The sequence below is a fragment of the Homo sapiens genome, chromosome 21 (assembly GCF_000001405.40).
Source record: "Homo sapiens chromosome 21, GRCh38.p14 Primary Assembly".
Taxonomy (NCBI): Eukaryota; Metazoa; Chordata; class Mammalia; order Primates; family Hominidae; genus Homo; species Homo sapiens.
In genome coordinates this window covers 46,265,601-46,282,414 of record NC_000021.9, presented here as the reverse complement: position 1 = coordinate 46,282,414, position 16,814 = coordinate 46,265,601, and the positions used below count along the sequence as shown (strand labels likewise).

The 16,814-nt window shown below is 47.6% G+C and overlaps 1 protein-coding gene across 4 annotated transcripts in view; it reads left to right on the top strand.

The window, feature by feature from the left end:
* The window catches only part of MCM3AP (minichromosome maintenance complex component 3 associated protein), a 51,133-nt gene that overhangs the window by 3,851 nt on the left and 30,468 nt on the right, over window positions 1-16,814 (top strand). For all 4 annotated transcript variants that reach the window (XM_005261205.5, XM_005261204.6, XM_005261203.5 and 1 more), the window contains 9 exons: window positions 1,840-1,918; window positions 2,278-2,422; window positions 4,698-4,888; window positions 7,090-7,229; window positions 8,830-9,027; window positions 9,586-9,854; window positions 11,852-12,014; window positions 15,273-15,433; window positions 16,249-16,490. In XM_005261205.5, the coding sequence (XP_005261262.1) occupies window positions 1,840-1,918; window positions 2,278-2,422; window positions 4,698-4,888; window positions 7,090-7,229; window positions 8,830-9,027; window positions 9,586-9,854; window positions 11,852-12,014; window positions 15,273-15,433; window positions 16,249-16,490 (1,588 nt within the window). The remainder of the gene's footprint in view (window positions 1-1,839; window positions 1,919-2,277; window positions 2,423-4,697; window positions 4,889-7,089; window positions 7,230-8,829; window positions 9,028-9,585; window positions 9,855-11,851; window positions 12,015-15,272; window positions 15,434-16,248; window positions 16,491-16,814) is intronic.

Sequence of the window (16,814 nt, the reverse complement as noted above, 5' to 3'; positions counted from 1 at the left end):
TTCTATAGGAATTTATAAAGTATAAATTTATAAAGTGAATGATACTACATTGAGTGGATGGACTACGTTTTGTTGATTCGTCTGTTGGCAGACGCGGGTTGTTTCTACTTTTTGGCTATTGTGAATAATGTTCATTGGCATATGACTTATTTGAGTCCCTGCTTTCAGTTTTTTGGGGTATATTCTTAGGATTGGAATTGCTGGGTCATATGGTAATCCTAATTTGTTTTTAGTTTTAATTTTTTTAATTAAAAAAAGTTTGTATTTTTACATTTGTATAGATGGGGTCTTACTGTGTTGCTCAGGCAGGTCTCGAACTCCGGTCCTCAAGCTGTCCTCCTGCCTTAGCCTCCCAAAATGTTGGGATTACAGACCTGAGTCATTGTACCGGCTCTCATTTTTGTTGTTGTTGTTTTTGAGACGGGGCCTTGCTCTGTCTCCCAGCCTGTATTGTAGTGGCGCAATCTTGGCTCACTTCAACCTTTACCTTTCCAGTTCAAGCGATTCTCCTCCCTCAGCCTCCCAAGTAGCTGGGATTGTGTGTGCACCACCATGCCTGGCTAATTTTTGTAGTTTTAGTGGAGAGGGGGTTTCACCACGTTGGCCAGGCTGGTCTCGAACTCCTGACCTCAGTGTTCCACGCACCTTGGCCTCCCAAAGTGCTGGGATTACAGGCGTGAGCCACCATGCCTGGCCTTGTTTTTATTATTTATTACTACTATTTATTTTATTGTTATTTTATTATTTATTTATTTTTTTGAGATGAAGTTTCACTATGTGGCCCAGGCTGGTCCTAAATTCCTGGGCACAAGTGATCCTCCCACCTCCACCTCCCAAAGTGCTAGGATAACGGGCATGAGCCACCATGCCCAACCCCCTTTTGTTTTTACAGTTATTTTTTGCCTGTTGCAATGTGCTTATTTTCCCAGCTGAACCTTAAATATTTTATGACATAACTAATATGTAAATAGACTGCCTTTATAAACAATTCATTGATACAGACAAAACTGAATATCCTCATCTCTCCTGTTACTCAGGAGCAGTCCAGTTAACTAGTGTGATGTGTATTTTTTTAGACATTTTTATGAGTGTATCTACACGGAGACTAACGTGGTTGGTTTTGTGTGTGTTTTCTGTGGTAAGTGGCATCCCATGTGTGTTATTCTGCAGCTCCCTTTTGTGCTTAATTGTGACTTCGCAAACTTTCTGTCTCTGTATGTGTGATCAGCTGGTGAGAATCATCTCACCAAATGCCAACAAGGCCAAGTTTGTGAGTTCTATGAAGCAAAGTTGTTAATTAAAAAAAAGGGGCCGGGCGCGGTGGCTCACGCCTGTAATCCCAGCACTTTGGGAGGCCAAGGTGGGCGGATCACCTGAGGTCAGGAGATCAAGACCATCCTGGCTAACACGGTGAAACCCCGTCTCTACTACAAATACAAAAAATTAGCCGGATGTGGTGGCGGGCGCCTGTAGTCCCAGCTGCTCAGGAGGCTGAGGCAGGAGAATGCATGAACCCTGAAGGTGGAGATTGCAGTAAGCTGAGATCTCACCACCGCACTCCAGCCTGGCTGACAGAGCGAGACTCTGTCTCAAAAAAAAAAAGGGGGAAAGAGCAAATACATGCTTGTGAGACAGGTAAGGGAGATGAATACTGCTGCTGCCGCAGCCAGAGACCATGCAGTTAGCAGACGTGTGGGTGGAGAAATCACTGTCGTGCAAAGGACAGGAGCTCCTGGTGCCTTTGAATGGTCTGTTGTGCTTACTGCATTTGAGTTTTCAATCCCATTTCCTTTGGTTTCCTGATATACTCACACATGGCGGTTGTGGACTGTTTTCCAGGCATCTGCAGCCCTGGCTAGAAAGAAGGGGAAAAGTTTGCATAAAGACATGGCTATCTTTTGGCACAGGAAGAAAATAAGTGAGTTTTCAATTATTCTTTTCACTTTTTAAAAAAATTATTTTTATTTATTTTATAGAGATGAGATCTCGCTATGTTGCCCAGTCTGATCTTGGGATTACAGGCATGAGCCATTGTGCATGGCCCTCTTTTCAGTTTCTCATGCTCTTGGTCCAAACCCTTTGAGCGTGAGCCCTTTCCCCAGCCAGTGGAGGAGGCTGGCTCTCAGTGGATTTGCATCTCACAGTTATTTCCTTGGGCTCTTCTCTAACCTCCTGTGACAATGAAAATAATATTACTTTCTTAGAAACAGAGTGAAAAAATCCAGTTCCAGGTGATCTGTGATTGCATAAACTCTTTTCTGCCTCCTATGTCCACAGGCCCCAATAAGAAACCCTTTTCCCTGAAGGAGAAGAAACCAGGTGACGGTGAAGTCAGCCCGAGCACAGAGGATGCACCCTTTCAGCACTCTCCTCTTGGCAAGGCCGCAGGGAGGACTGGTGCTAGCAGCCTCCTGAATAAAAGGTGGGATCGGTCCCTCCTAATGACCTTATTCCGGAAGGACCAGGAAATAGCGCCCTATAGCGACACCTGAGTCAGGGTGCAAGACTGTGGGGAGTGGTGAGGAGACAAAAGCCAGTTGCTAGGGATGGTTGGGGGTGGAGGGGCAGGGGCTCTGCCCCTCCTGCCAGCATGGGCCGTTAGGAGGTGGGTCTGTGTGGGGCTGGTGGTCCCAGCCAGAAGAGAGAATTTTCTGACACTGGTAACTGCCAGCTGCAGAGATGGTGGAGAGCAGTGATTCTGTCCTGTCTTGTTCTCATATACCCTAGGGCCAAGGTTGCTGAGAAAGCCTTCCTTTGGGGCTGGCCTTTTTTTCTTGTTTCCATCTTGGCATTTTCTATGGGAGAATCTCATCACACAGTTGTTATAGCTGGTACAGACCTTTCAGCTGCAGCTACAGGAGATCCAGGGGAGGCTGCTCACTTAGGACAGCAGAACTTCTGTCCTTGCACAGAGTGCCTGCTCTGTGGGACACACGCAGGCTGGCGCCCTGTGGCGGGTCGCTGCCTGCCTCACAGGATTGTAGTAGGAAATCTCCTTGCTCATCTAACTCGTCCTGAATCCCACTGCAGTTAAGTGCAGTTCCACTTGACATATAAATGTATAAGCAATAACTTTTTACCTCAAGACATTTAACTGGCTGTAATAAACCATGCATTCCTTTTTTTTTTGAGACACAGTCTGGCTGTTGCCCAGGTTGGAGTTCAGTGGCACGATCTTGGCTCACTGCAACCTCTGCCTCCTGGGTTCAAGAAATTCTCCTGCCTTAGCCTCCCTAGTAGCTGAGATTACAGGTGCGCTCCACCACGCCCAGCTAATATTTTTGTATTTTTAGTAGAGATGGGGTTTCACCATGTTGGCCAGGCTGGTCTCGAACTCCTGACTAGAGATGCATGCCCGGCCAAACCATGCATTTCTAATAATCACTTTCAGCAGTTTCCAGCATTACTTTTTTTTTTTTTTTTTTCCTGAAGAGCTGTCTCCTGGCCGGGCGCAGTGCTCACGCCTGTAATCCCAGCACTTTGGGAGGCCAAGGCGGGCGGATCACAAGGTCAGGAGATTGAGACCATCCTGGCTGATATGGTGAAACCCCATCTCTACTAAAAATACAAAAAATTAGCCGGGCATGGTGGCAGGTGCCTGTAGTCCCAGCTACTTGTGAGGCTGAGGCAGGAGAACTGCGTGAACCCGGGAGGCGGAGCTTGCAGTGAGCCGAGATTGCGCCACTGCACTCCAGACTGGGCAACAGAGCGAGACCCCATCTCAAAAAAAAAAAGGCTGTCTCCTAAAGGAAGGGCAGCATGACTTTTTGCAGGTGCAGCTTATCACAGTGAAGCAGACACGGTCGGCCATGTTAGTTGTGTTAACCGGCATGTGATGTGAAGTGCCCTGGCTACCTTGTCTGTCTGGGGAACTCTGTTCTCAAAGGCTTTTGCTTTTCACACCAGGCCTACTTTGACAGATCTCCGGCTGAATCCATCTTTTCATCTTTTGGCCAATGTATTTTCCTCACTTTCCGTTTTGTGACGAGCAGTTTAGTTGCTGGTTTGACATAATCTTTGACATTCAAGTTCAGAAAATGATGAAAGCTAGAAAATGGGGAAGCTGAGAGAGAATGCCTGATTCCTTTTAGTATGTCCTTCTACCAAAATAATTTCTGTTTTAAAACATGTAGGCTTAATATTTCCTTATGATATTAAAGACTTTTTTCATGCTGAGTTTATTTCTTTGAAATAGAAATCAGTAAGTGTTCATTTTAGCTGTTTAAATGAGCCTATCTTTTTTTTTTTTTCGGGGGGTGGTAAGTTAGAGTCTCACTCTGTCACCCAGGCTGGAGAGCAGCAGTGTAATAATCTCAGCTCACTGCAACCTCTGCCTGCCAGGCTCAAGCAATCCTCTCACCCCAGCCTCTCGAGTAGCTGGGACTAGAGGCACATGCCACCATGCCCGGCTAATTTTTAAATTTTTTGTAGAGATGGGGTCTCCCTATGTTGCCCAGGCTATTTTGTTTTTCAAAAGTATGAAATATTTCAAAATTATATTAAAGTCAGTGAGTAATGTGAATAACGCTTTTGTGCTCATTACCATCCTTATCAAAACTCATCTCATTTCAGTGCTTGTAGTTTCTCAGCTTTAGAGGACCAGAAAATCTTGAAAGATGAGGGGACGTGTTCAGAAATGAAAATGCTCTGAAGGCCTTCCTGGGACGAGGGCCCTCAGTGTGGTGTTTACTTTATAGCTCTCCAGTGAAGAAGCCAAGTCTTCTAAAGGCCCACCAATTCGAGGGAGACTCTTTTGACTCAGCCTCCGAGGGCTCCGAGGGCCTCGGGCCATGTGTGCTCTCCCTCAGTACCCTGATAGGCACTGTGGCTGAGACATCCAAGGAGAAGTACCGCCTGCTTGACCAGAGAGACAGGATCATGCGGCAAGGTATGGCACTTGGTGGCAGAGGTTCTAGGGGCCTGGTGAGGTCGTCATCTTGGGTGCCATCAGGGCAGGAGCAACTCCTTTCCATTGGGCTCTATTGCTGTTGAGTCTCAGAGCCTGTGATATGCTGTGTCTGATCTTCATAGTCTGCCTGTCTTCTTGGAGTGAGTGTTGCGTGTATGTGTACATAAATGTGCAAATATGTTTGCTAATGTATGTATAAAATAGTAGTGGGAGGATGCAAAAGAATGGGCTCCTGTCTGTAGAGGGAGCGGGATTCCGAGGGGCAGAGGTTATGGTGGAGTGCTCCGTCTTGGACAGGGCATTCTTACACTGTTACAATGTTGAACTGTGTGAATGTATTACCTACTAAAAAGTAAGTATTCCATTAACACTAAAAATATATGCAGGGACCAAAAATAAAAGGAAAAAACACAGGTACTTCTCTTAGCCAATTTTTTTCTCTTAAATTTCAGCCGGGCTGGGCATGGTGGCTCACACCTGTAATCCCAGCACTTTGGGAGGCTGAGGCATGAGGGACCACCTGAGGTCAGGAGTTAAAGACTAGCCTGGCCAACATGGCAAAACCCCCATCTCTACAATAAATAAATAAATAATAAATAAGCAGGCTGGGTGCGGTGGTGTGCATCTGTAGTCCCAGCTACCTGGGAGGCTGAGGCAGGAGAATCACTTGAACTGGCGAGGTGGAGGTTACAGTGAGCCGAGATTGTGCCACTGCACTCCAGCCTGGACAACAGGGTGAGATTCTGTCTCAAAAAAAAAAAAAAATGCTGGGCGTGGTGGCTCACGCCTGTAATCCCAGCACTTTAGGAGGTCGAGGCTGGTGGATCACCTGAGGTCAGGAGTTCGAGACCAGCCTGACCAACATGGAAAAACCCCATCTCTACTAAAAAGACAAAATTAGCCGGGCGTGGTGGCACATGCCTGTAATCCCAGCTACTTGGGAGGCTGAGGCAGGAGAATGGCTTGAACCCGGGAGGCTGAGGTTGCGGTGAGCCGAGATTGTGCCATTGTACTCCAGCCTGGGCAGCAAGAGCGAAACTCCATCTCAAAAAGAAAAAAAAAATCAGCTATAGGAGTTTCCTCTTTTTAAAAGCTGTGGATAATTTGAATAATCACCATGTTTCCTTAATATAATAACATATAGTAATAAAAGCTGCCATCAAACATCATATCATTGATACAGTGATTTTTATATTCTAAAAATTATTATTAGGTATTAGAATTTTTCTTTTTTTTTTTTTCCTCGAGATGGAGTCTTGCTCTGTTACCCATGGTGGAGTACCATGACAGAGTGAGCGCAACGTCAGCTCACTGCAACGTCCGCCTCCCGGGTTCAAGTGATTGTCTTGCCTCAGCCTCCTGAGTAGCTGGGACTACAGCCATGCGCCACCACGCCCGGCTAATTTTTGTATTCTTAGTAGAGATGGGGTTTCTCCATGTTGGTCAGGCTGGTCTCGAACTCCCGACCTCAGGTGATCTGCCAGTCTTGGCCTCCCAAAGTGCTGGGATTACAGGCGTGAGCCACCAGGCCGGGCCCAGGTATTAGAATTTTTCAACATGAAAACAATAAGTATATATTTTGAGTGTGAAGTTGTTGCATTTCCTTTTCCTTGCAAGCTACATTGTAACTTAAGTGTAATAGCAGTTTACTCATTCAGGTAAGAACCCAGTTAACGTCCATTATATGATTCTTATATTAAAGTCATGGTGAATACTGAGACAGTTTTAGAATAGTGATATATTTTGAATATTTGCAGTTGTTACAAGTCAATCCTTTTAGTAAACATCCTGCACCATGATTTTTTGTCATTGAGGTCATTACAGGAGTTAGAAAACTCCGGCTGAAAGTGAGGACACTCCCCTGCTTTTATCTGCAGTGAGGGTCTGTGACTGTTGGAGAGGTGACTCGGGGGTCTTTCTCTTAGTCTGCAGTGAGGGTCTGTGACTGTTAGAGAGAGGTGGACTCGGGTCTTTGGGAGCTTTGATGTCCCACTGCCTGGCATAATAGACCATAAGTCCTCTTTGTCTGAGGCTCTGAGTTTTACAAATGTTTTTCTTTTCTTTTGTAATGTGTGTGTGTGTTTTAAGTTTTAATTTCTTTTTATCATTATGAGAATACACTTCTGTAGGTTCGTGCTAACCATGTGGTACATTCTTACCTTTTACTTGACGTCATTTAGCTCGGGTGAAGAGAACCGATCTGGACAAAGCGAGGACTTTTGTTGGCACCTGCCTGGATATGTGTCCTGAGAAGGAGAGGTACATGCGGGAGACCCGTAGCCAGCTGAGCGTGTTCGAAGTGGTCCCAGGGACTGACCAGGTAGAGCCCTGCATCTCCCCGTGGAGTGTGGGCAGGGGACGGGGCTGCTTTTGTCATTTCTGTACATACTTGATTTGGGTGTTTGTTTTAGACAGTGTTGGGTATTTGTGCTATTAACAATCATATTAAGCTGTTTTGCATTGTGAGATGTTCACTCTGTAATTGGTACCTATACATGATAAGGTATAGATGCAAGTTATTTTAAATAAAGTTGTTTTTCAAATTCTTTTTTTTTTTTTTTTTTTTTGAGACAGGGTCTCACTCTGTCACCTAGGCTGAAGTGCAGTGGTCCAATCATGGCTCACTACAGCCTCAACTTCCCAGGCTCAGGTGATCCTCTCCTCTCACTCAGCTTACAGAGTAGCTGGGATTACAGGCATGCTCCACCACGCCTAGTTACTGTTTTATTTTTTGCAGCGATGGGGTCTTGCCGTGTTGCCCAGGCTGGTCCCGAACTCCTAAGCTCAAGTCATCTGCCCACCTCCGCCTCCCAAAGTGCTGGGATTACAGGCGTGAGCCACCACATCCAGCTAACTTTTTTCTTTTTACGATCTTATTCCTGTCTGTTTCTATGCTTATGTTTTACACATTCGAGATTATGCTCTAGATACAATTTTATGTGTATCTTTTCCACTTAAAATTATGTCATGAACATTTTCCTTTGTTAGGGTAAACTATGAGCATTTAAAAATGACAGCATATTATTTTATTAGTAGCTCTGTCAAAACTCTGCATTTTTACCATTAGTAGATAGGCTGCTTCTAAATTTTTAGTTCTATTAGTAATATTGTTTGGCATCTTGTATGTAATGCTTCTCTGGTATTTAGATTATTTTCTTCAGATCCTAAGAATTAAATTACTGCATCAGAGGGTATGACCTTTCCTGAACATTATCCATGTATCTTCCCAAATTGTTGCCCCAGAAAGCTGCACCAATATAGATCCTTTTGGACTTTGTGAATTTTGCTTATGGGCTTCTCCTCTTCCTGGCTGGTGGCTTTATACACCCTTCGCCTGGTGCGGGGTCCCCAGCCCAGCAACTCGTGTCACTGTAGGGCCCCTGCCCCAGGAGAGGCACATGCCCAGGGCCTTGTCCTGTGTACATCTCTGCCTCTTCCCTTGGCCACGTCTTCAGCCTCCTTTTGAGGTGGGAGATGCAATTCCAGGCCCCAGGTGGGCAGCCAGCCCCTGATGCTGTGTCCTCAGCAGTCCTCACCGCCTGTCTCTGTTTCACTTCTGCTCTGTGTAGACTTAATCTGGTGTGTGAGCGGGCCTGAGACCTTTTAAGTGCTTGAGGCCCTTCCCTGTCCCGTCTCTCTGCTTTGGAGGCTAGCAGATGTGCCTTCACTTAACATTCCTCCTGTTTGTCATGACGCACTCATATCTTAACTCCTTGTCATATTTGCCAAAATCAAATTTCTCTATTTGTCTTTGAATTTTGATTGTCACCTTTTAACAGAAATTTTATGTTGAAAAAATATATTCTCAAATACTGATCTTGTGTGGGTGTGTATGTGATTTTCCCCCTCATTTTCAGGCATAACTATGCCTGGCCCAAGGTATGCCACATGGGCATCCTGTCTCGGCTTCATGTCTCTAGGTGGACCACGCAGCAGCTGTGAAAGAGTACAGTCGGTCCTCGGCGGATCAGGAGGAGCCCCTGCCCCACGAGCTGCGGCCCTTGCCAGTGCTCAGCAGGACCATGGACTACCTGGTGACCCAGATCATGGACCAGAAGGAGGGCAGCCTGCGGGATTGGTATGACTTCGTGTGGAACCGCACGCGTGGCATACGGAAGGTATTGGCTGCCTCCAACCTGGATGCTAAAAAATCCACGCAAATTCCAAAGTCAAACTGATATTTTTATTACTCTGTTATATATTTTATCTGTAACAAAAATGTACTTTTGTGGGCCAGGTGCAGTGGCTCAGGCCTGTAATCCCAGCACTCTGGGAGGCCGAGGTGGGTGGATCACCTGAGGTCAGGAGTTTGAGACCAGCCTGGCCAACATGGTTAAACCCCATCTCTACTGAAAATACAAAAATTAGCTTGGCGTGGTGGCACACGCCTGTAGTCCCAGCTACTCGAGCGGCTGAAGCAGAATTGCTTGAACCTGGGAGGCGGAGGTTGTGGTGAGCCAAGATGACACCACTGCACTCCAGCCTGGCTTCTGTCTCAAAAAAAAAAACAAACCCCAGGACTTTTATTTAAGTCACTACAAAGTCCTATTAAAATGTGCATCATGGGCTTTGTTTCAAATTGAAAAGTGAGAAATTGAGGTCGTAGCATGATCCTTCTCACGGTTGCCTCTTTGCATGGGAATGTGTGTGTGATCCTCCCCCTCGCCTGTGGCCAGGATATCACGCAGCAGCACCTCTGTGACCCCCTGACGGTGTCCCTGATTGAGAAGTGCACCCGGTTTCACATCCACTGTGCCCACTTCATGTGTGAGGAGCCCATGTCCTCCTTTGATGCCAAGATCAATAATGAGAACATGACCAAGTGCCTGCAGAGCCTGAAGGAGATGTACCAGGACCTGAGAAACAAGGGTGTCTTCTGTGCCAGCGAAGCGGAGTTCCAGGGCTACAATGTTCTGCTCAGTCTCAACAAGGGAGACATCCTAAGGTGAATTTTCACATCCAAAAGTTGTCCTAAGGTGGCTGAAAAGGCAGGCTTTAAACAGGAGAAGAGCTTTCAGGAGTGGCAGTAGCCAATAGTGCAGCATTCTGTCTGGTAGCAGATGTTGGGATGATAGTAGAGGACCTTGGTCTGGCTTTGCAGTCGGCTGAGCTGAGCTGGGGGAAGAGCGATGGGGGTGTGCCCTGGGACCAGCACATCTGACGTAGGCCCCACATGTTCATTTCTGAAAATAGTTTCTCCTCACCAGTGAGAAAATGAGGAAGGAATCCTCCTCATGAGACAGGTGAGTGAACCAGGAGAGGGAGTTCCAGGTGCCCTGCAAGGTTGTTAGCAGTTCCCTGTTCCCAGATAGTTTTGTCAAAGATCTCAGAATAAGAGAGGAAAAAATTATGTAAAACAAAAATGCGAAGAATGGGGTAGTGAGAATGAATGAATGTAAAACCCTGGTCTGATCCATAATTAGTCACTTACATGCGAAGTCTGGCGAGCTCTCTGGCCCTCTGCTTGTGGTGGACCCTCTGCTTGTGGTTAAGCTGGACTTATGGTGGACAGTGTCCCCTTTAGTTCTAAGAATCCCCTATCAATGGTGAACCTCTTTTTTTTTTCTTTGTATTTTCCTCAAGAACTGTGTGACAGAATATCTAGATGTGTGGTTGATTTTAATTTTTTATTTCATTTTATTTTTGAGACCGAGTCCTGCTCTGTTGCCCAGGCCGGAGTACAGTAGTGCGATCTTGGCTCACTGCAACCTCCACCTCCTGGGTTCAAGCGATTCTCTTGCCTCAGTCTCCTGAGTAGCTGGGATTACAGGCACATACCACCATGCCCGCCTCATTTTTTTGTATTTTTAGTAGAGACAGGGTTTCACCATGTTGGCCAGGCTTGTCCGGAACTCCTGACCTCAGGTGATCCACCTGCCTCGGCCTCCCAAAGTGCTGGGATTACAGTTAGAGTCTCCATGCCCGGCTGATTTTAAATTTTAAAATTAAGCCTTGTATAGCCTGGGCAACATGGTGAGACCCTTCCACAAAAATGAATAAATAAATAAAATTAACCAGGTGTGGTGATGTGTGCCTGTAGTTCCAGCGACTGGGGAGGCTGAGGTGGGAGGATCCCTTGAGCCCAGGAGGTCAAGGCTGCAGTAAGCTGTGATCATGCCACTGTCCTCCAGTCTGGGTGACAAAGCAAGACCCTATCTCTTAAAAAAAAAAAAAAAAAACCCAGGTGTGGTGGCCCATGGCCTGTTATCACAGCACTTTGGGAGGCCGAGATGAGAGGGTTGCTTGAGGCCAGGAGGTTGAAGCTGCAATGAACTGTGATTGTGCCAGTGCACTCCAGCCTGGGTGATAGAGCAAGTACTCTGTCTCAAAAAAAAAAAAAATTAAACTGGTTATGAAAGATTGCTGTATTGTCTTTTTCTACGTGACAAGCATTTGTTCTCCATCACGAATAATTCAGTCAAAATCAATTCATTTCTAAACAAAAAGAGTTAAGTTTTCTGTTTTTTAGACTTTACCATCCAGCACAGCTGACAGTCCATTGGCATTACTTTAAAGTAACTTTTTGATAACTGATTCCTAAATTGCTTTTTGAATTTGTTTATTCTATTCATTATTGTTTTGAAGGAAACCTTTGTCAAACCAATCCAAGCGTGGTAGTTAGTAAACTATGAATTTAACGGCACATTTCACCAGTAAGACCCTCCTTCTCAGTATGGTTGAAATCCAGTATCATTATTACTTGAGACAGGGTCTTGCTCTGTCACCCAGGCTGGAGTACAGTGATGCGATCACAGCTCACTGCAGCCTCAACCTCCTGGGCTCAAACGATCCTCCCACCTTGGCCTCCCCACGTTTTGGGATTACAGGTGTGAGCCACTGCATCTGGCCAGTGAAATCTATTATTTATCAGATCTATCTTCATGAAAATTTTGTCTTATTTAAAATAACATTCCAACCCCTTTTCTCTCCTTTAATTAACAGAGAAGTACAACAGTTCCATCCTGCTGTTAGAAACTCATCTGAGGTGAAATTTGCTGTTCAGGCTTTTGCTGCATTGAACAGTAATAATTTTGTGAGATTTTTCAAACTGGTCCAGTCAGCTTCTTACCTGAACGCTTGTCTTTTACACTGTTACTTCAGTCAGGTGAGTAAATGAGCTGTGCTTGCAGAGTTGGAAGAAAGCAGGTGGTTCTTGTGCTGTTTGGGTGCTTTCTTATTCCAAGCTTTTCAAAGGAGGTCTCAGGCTGATGCTGTGTCACCCTTGCAGCAGCCCCACGAAGGGGTTACCGGTGTTGCCCTGTTTTATAGGGGTTATCACTGTTGGTCACCATCCGGAAAGGCTGTGCAATGGAAAATACTGTTCCATGGTTCAAATAAGAAAAATCTCTTTGGGAAAACATAGGTTGAATTCAGCACTATCATCATCCATGAAAGCTAACTAAAAAGCAAAAATCTCATATCATATGCACAAAATCTCTGACTTTGAAATGCTTCATGTTTTAAATCGAAGTTTCTGGAGTGAGGCTGATGGCGCTAAGTTCCTTTCAGTGGGTGCCTCAGTGTCTGTGCTTTGCCGTGTGCTAGGGTTGCAGAGGCAATGGGAAGGCCAGTCCCTCCCCTGGGGTTTGCGCAGAGTAAACTGTGTCTTGGGGTTTCCAGTCGGTTATTTTGTTCCACTTCCACGGAACTTGGGGATGAGGACAGAGCAGCCCCTGTAGCACCTGCTGTTCTAGGCCCTGCATGATTCCGTTCAGTGCAATGTGACCAGGACCGCGGCCCACCGCACAGAGCGCCACCTCACCTCGCACACACTCTGCTGCCCATTCTGGCAGCGGCTCCAAGGAGGCTGCCAGGATTCCTTGCCACAAGCCCGTAGTGGCCACAGCGTGGGGAGGATGCTGCCTGGGAGATCCTGGGACCTGCCTTGGTTGATCTGTGGCTCCAGGTCATTTCTTTGGTCACACATCAGGGCCTCCTGTAAACAGTGACTAAACCCACAGTCATGTCACAGTCAGAAGGTCTTTTGCAGGTTTGCTCCTTGTCAGATCTGCAGGTTGCCAAACAGAACTGATATTCTGGAGTAAATGAAAAGGTTTTCCACAACTTGCCACTTGTAGTTAATATTGGCTGGGTGCTTTGGCTCACACCTGTTATCCTGGCACCTTGGCAAACTTGGGAGGTGGGAAAATTGCTTGAGCTCAGGAGTTCAAGGCCAGCCTGGGCAACATAGGGAGGCCCTGTCTCTACTAAAAATAAAAAAAAAGCCAGGCAGGTGTGGTGGGATGCTCCTGTAGTCCCAGCTACTCAGGAGGCTGAGGTGGGAGGATCGCTTGAGCCCAGGAAGTTGAGGCTGCAGTGAGCCAAGATCTGCACTCTCCAGCCTGGGCAACAGAGGCCCTCTCAAAAAAAATAAACAAAAATAAAACATAGTTAATGTTGTATACACGATGATTGAGCGTTAGTAGAATGTTGACCATTTTTAATAACTTTATTTATTTATTTATTTAGAGATGGAGTCTCGCTCTGTTGCCCAGGCTGGAGTGCAGTGGCATGATCTCTGCTCACCGCAACTTCTGCCTCCTGGGTTCAAGTGATTCTCCTGCCTGAGCCTCCCTCCCCAGTAGCTGGGACTACAGGAGCCCGCCACCACGCCCAGCTAACTTAGTAGAGATGGGATTTCGCCATGCTGGCCAGGCTGATCTCGAACTCCTAGCCTCAGGTGATCCACCCACCTCGGCCTCCCAAAGTGCTGGGATTACAGGCATGAACCACCTTGCCTGGCCGTTTTTAATAACTTTAAACAAAAGAGATATTCGGGTATTTTTCTTTAGAAAAGCTCTTCACCGGCAGTGGCGCACAGAGGCAGCCTCCTGTCCCCGCAGCCCTGTGCACTCCTGCTCAGAGGCTTTGTGCTTGCTGTTTCCACTGCTGTTCCACACTCGCAGAGCCGCACGGCGCTGTCTCCACCTCCCTGAGGCCAGGCGAGGCTTGGCTGCCGCCCTCAGCAGGGCCCCCACCAGCGCTCCCTGCTCTCCCTGCCCATCTGCCGCACTAAATCACCATTCTGTGTGTTTGATGTGTTTGTTTTCTGTGGCATTGGTCTCTCCCCTGGCATGTCAGCTATGTGGGGACAGGGATTGTGTTTTTGTTCACTGTTGTACTCTCAGCATTAAAAACGGTGCCAGGCACAGAGCAAATGCTTGATCAGTGTTGGTTGAATTAAAGAACATCGGAAGAGGACTAACAGCTTAGGTACCAAAGTCCCAGCACTCAAGCAGAATTTTTGTTCGGATTTTCATGTTTTTCCTTTGTCTATTTTTACTTTTATTTTTATTTATTTATTTTTTTGAGATGGAGTCTCACTTTGTCACCCAGGCTGGAGTGCAGTGGCATGATCTCGGCTCACTGAAACCTCCACCTCCCGGGTTGAAGTGATTCTCCTGCCTCAGCCTCCCTAGTAGCTGGTATTACAGGTGCGTGCCACCACACCCAGCTAATTTTTGTATTTTTAGTAGAGATGGGGTTTCACCATGTTGGCCAGGCTGGTCTCAAACTCCTGGCTTCAAGTGACCCGCCTGCCTTGGCCTCCCAAAGTGCTGGGATTACAGGCGTGAGCCACCACACCCAGCCCCATTGTCTTTTTTTTAAGACACTGGTTCTCACTCTGTCACCTAGGCTGGAGTGCAGTGGTGTGATCAAGGCTTACTGCAGCCTCAACCTCTTGGGCTCAAGCAGTCCTCCCACTTTAGCCTCCCATGTTGCTGGGACCACAGGTGCATGCCACCAAGCCCCACTAATTAAAACAAATTTTTTTTTATAGAGAATAGGATGTAGCTATGTTGCCCAGGCTGGTCTTGAATTCCTGGGCTCAAGTGATCCTCCCACCTTGGCCTCCCAAAGTGCTGGGATTACAGGTATGAGCTACTGCACCTGGTCTCTGTCTTCTTTTTTTTTTTTTAAGGCTCTTGTTAGAATGCCGTGAACAGTTGTCTCCAACTATTATATGTCATTCCACGGGATTGGTTTCCTGCTGGCATTCCATGGTCTCCGGGGTCCTCTGCAGCACCTTCCTGGCCTTTTGTCATGTGGATGCTGCACAGCTGACTTCACCTGGTCTTGTTGATGGACAGTTTGTTTCATGATTTCTCTTATGAATAAAACCTTCACAAGCCATCCTTCTCTATGAGAGTGTTTGCTTGGCACGCATTCCTGAGCACTGCCCCTGAGCAGACCGCCTATGATCTCTAAGCTTGGGTTCCGTGTTGCCAAAGCGCCTTCTGGTGGACTCAGCCCAGGAGGAGCCCATGTGCCCCACGCTGGCCATGGCTGTGGTCATGGGCTGACTGCATGTGTCTGACTGGGCCTTCGTCTGAGACTGCAGTGATTTCGCTCCTCCTCTCAGATCCGCAAGGATGCTCTCCGGGCGCTCAACTTTGCGTACACGGTGAGCACACAGCGATCTACCATCTTTCCCCTGGATGGTGTGGTGCGCATGCTGCTGTTCAGAGACTGTGAAGAGGCCACCGACTTCCTCACCTGCCACGGCCTCACCGTTTCCGACGGGTAAGAGCTGAGAATGGAACTGTGGGGCCCCTGTCTCCTTTTTTCTTGTTAATTCTGATGAAGGGCTGTGAAGGGCTGGCTGCTTGCCTGACTTGAAGAAGGTGCATTCCCTCTGCCATGCAGGTGAACACACGAGACTCAGAATGGCTGGGGGTGTTCCCAAGGTCACATCCTGGCTGTCAGCACATTGAGGGCTCAGACCAAGTTCTTTGTGACTCCAAAATCAGTCCTTTTCATGACTTGCTGACAAACCTAAAGATAAAAGTTAGGGCCTTCTTTATTCTTTCCCTTGACTGCCTTTGCCAGCCAATGACGGACAACCTCTGACGGCTGGGATGGAGGCACCCGCAGGCCAGCCGGAGTCTTCTCCGGTACTTACCAGTCAGAGTGGTGAGACTCACAGACGCTCTCTCAGAAACTGGCAGCTTACACTCAACACCCGGTGCCTAGTTCCCCACCCTGTCTCCTCTAACTCCTCACCTGCCTCCTGCCTGTCTCCTCCTTCCAGTTCTGTCTCCTTCTAGTTCTGTCTCCTCCTTCCAGTTCTGTCCTCAGAAAATTAGACGGTTTTGGGTGAGCCAGCAAGGAGGCAGGAGTGAGTCAGCGTGCGTCTGTTAACACGCTGGGCTTAGTGGTTCTAGGGACCTACAGAGGCTCCAGGGTGGGCGGCAGTGGGACCTGGCGCCTGTGCTTTCTGTTATTTACACATGGCTGTGGTGACACCCAAGGGGCTTGCAGTACTCGGCAGGGCACTGAGGGCGAAGCTGTCTTCTCCCCTGGTGACACCCCTCGGGGGTCTTTTGTGGTCTGGGTAGCTGTGTGGAGCTGAACCGGTCTGCATTCCTGGAACCAGAGGGATTATCCAAGACCAGGAAGTCGGTGTTTATTACTAGGAAGCTGACGGTGTCAGTCGGGGAAATTGTGAACGGAGGGCCATTGCCCCCCGTCCCTCGTCATACCCCTGTGTGCAGCTTCAACTCCCAGAACAAGTACATCGGGGAGAGCCTGGCCGCGGAGCTGCCCGTCAGCACCCAGAGACCCGGCTCCGACACAGTGGGTGAGTGAAGCTGCAGTCGTAGTGAGGGGACTAGCTGCATTTTCCCACCAGAACGCCTCCCAGGAGCCTGGGCATCTGCATTTTCTCGCCAGGACGCCTCCCAGGAGCCTGAGCACCTGTCTTGTCTTGGGGCCCAGGGGTGTGGCTCTTCCTCATGCTCAGATGGTTCTCACTGGGAGTGGACTGAGGGCTTTGAAGCCCTCCTCCTGGCTCCCTGACATCCTGGGGCTTGTTTTTCATGCAAAGCGTATGTTGTCCCACGTAGCTGGTCTCCTGGAGGGCAGGCCAGTCCTCAGGGTCACTGTGGGTGGCCTGGGGCTGTCC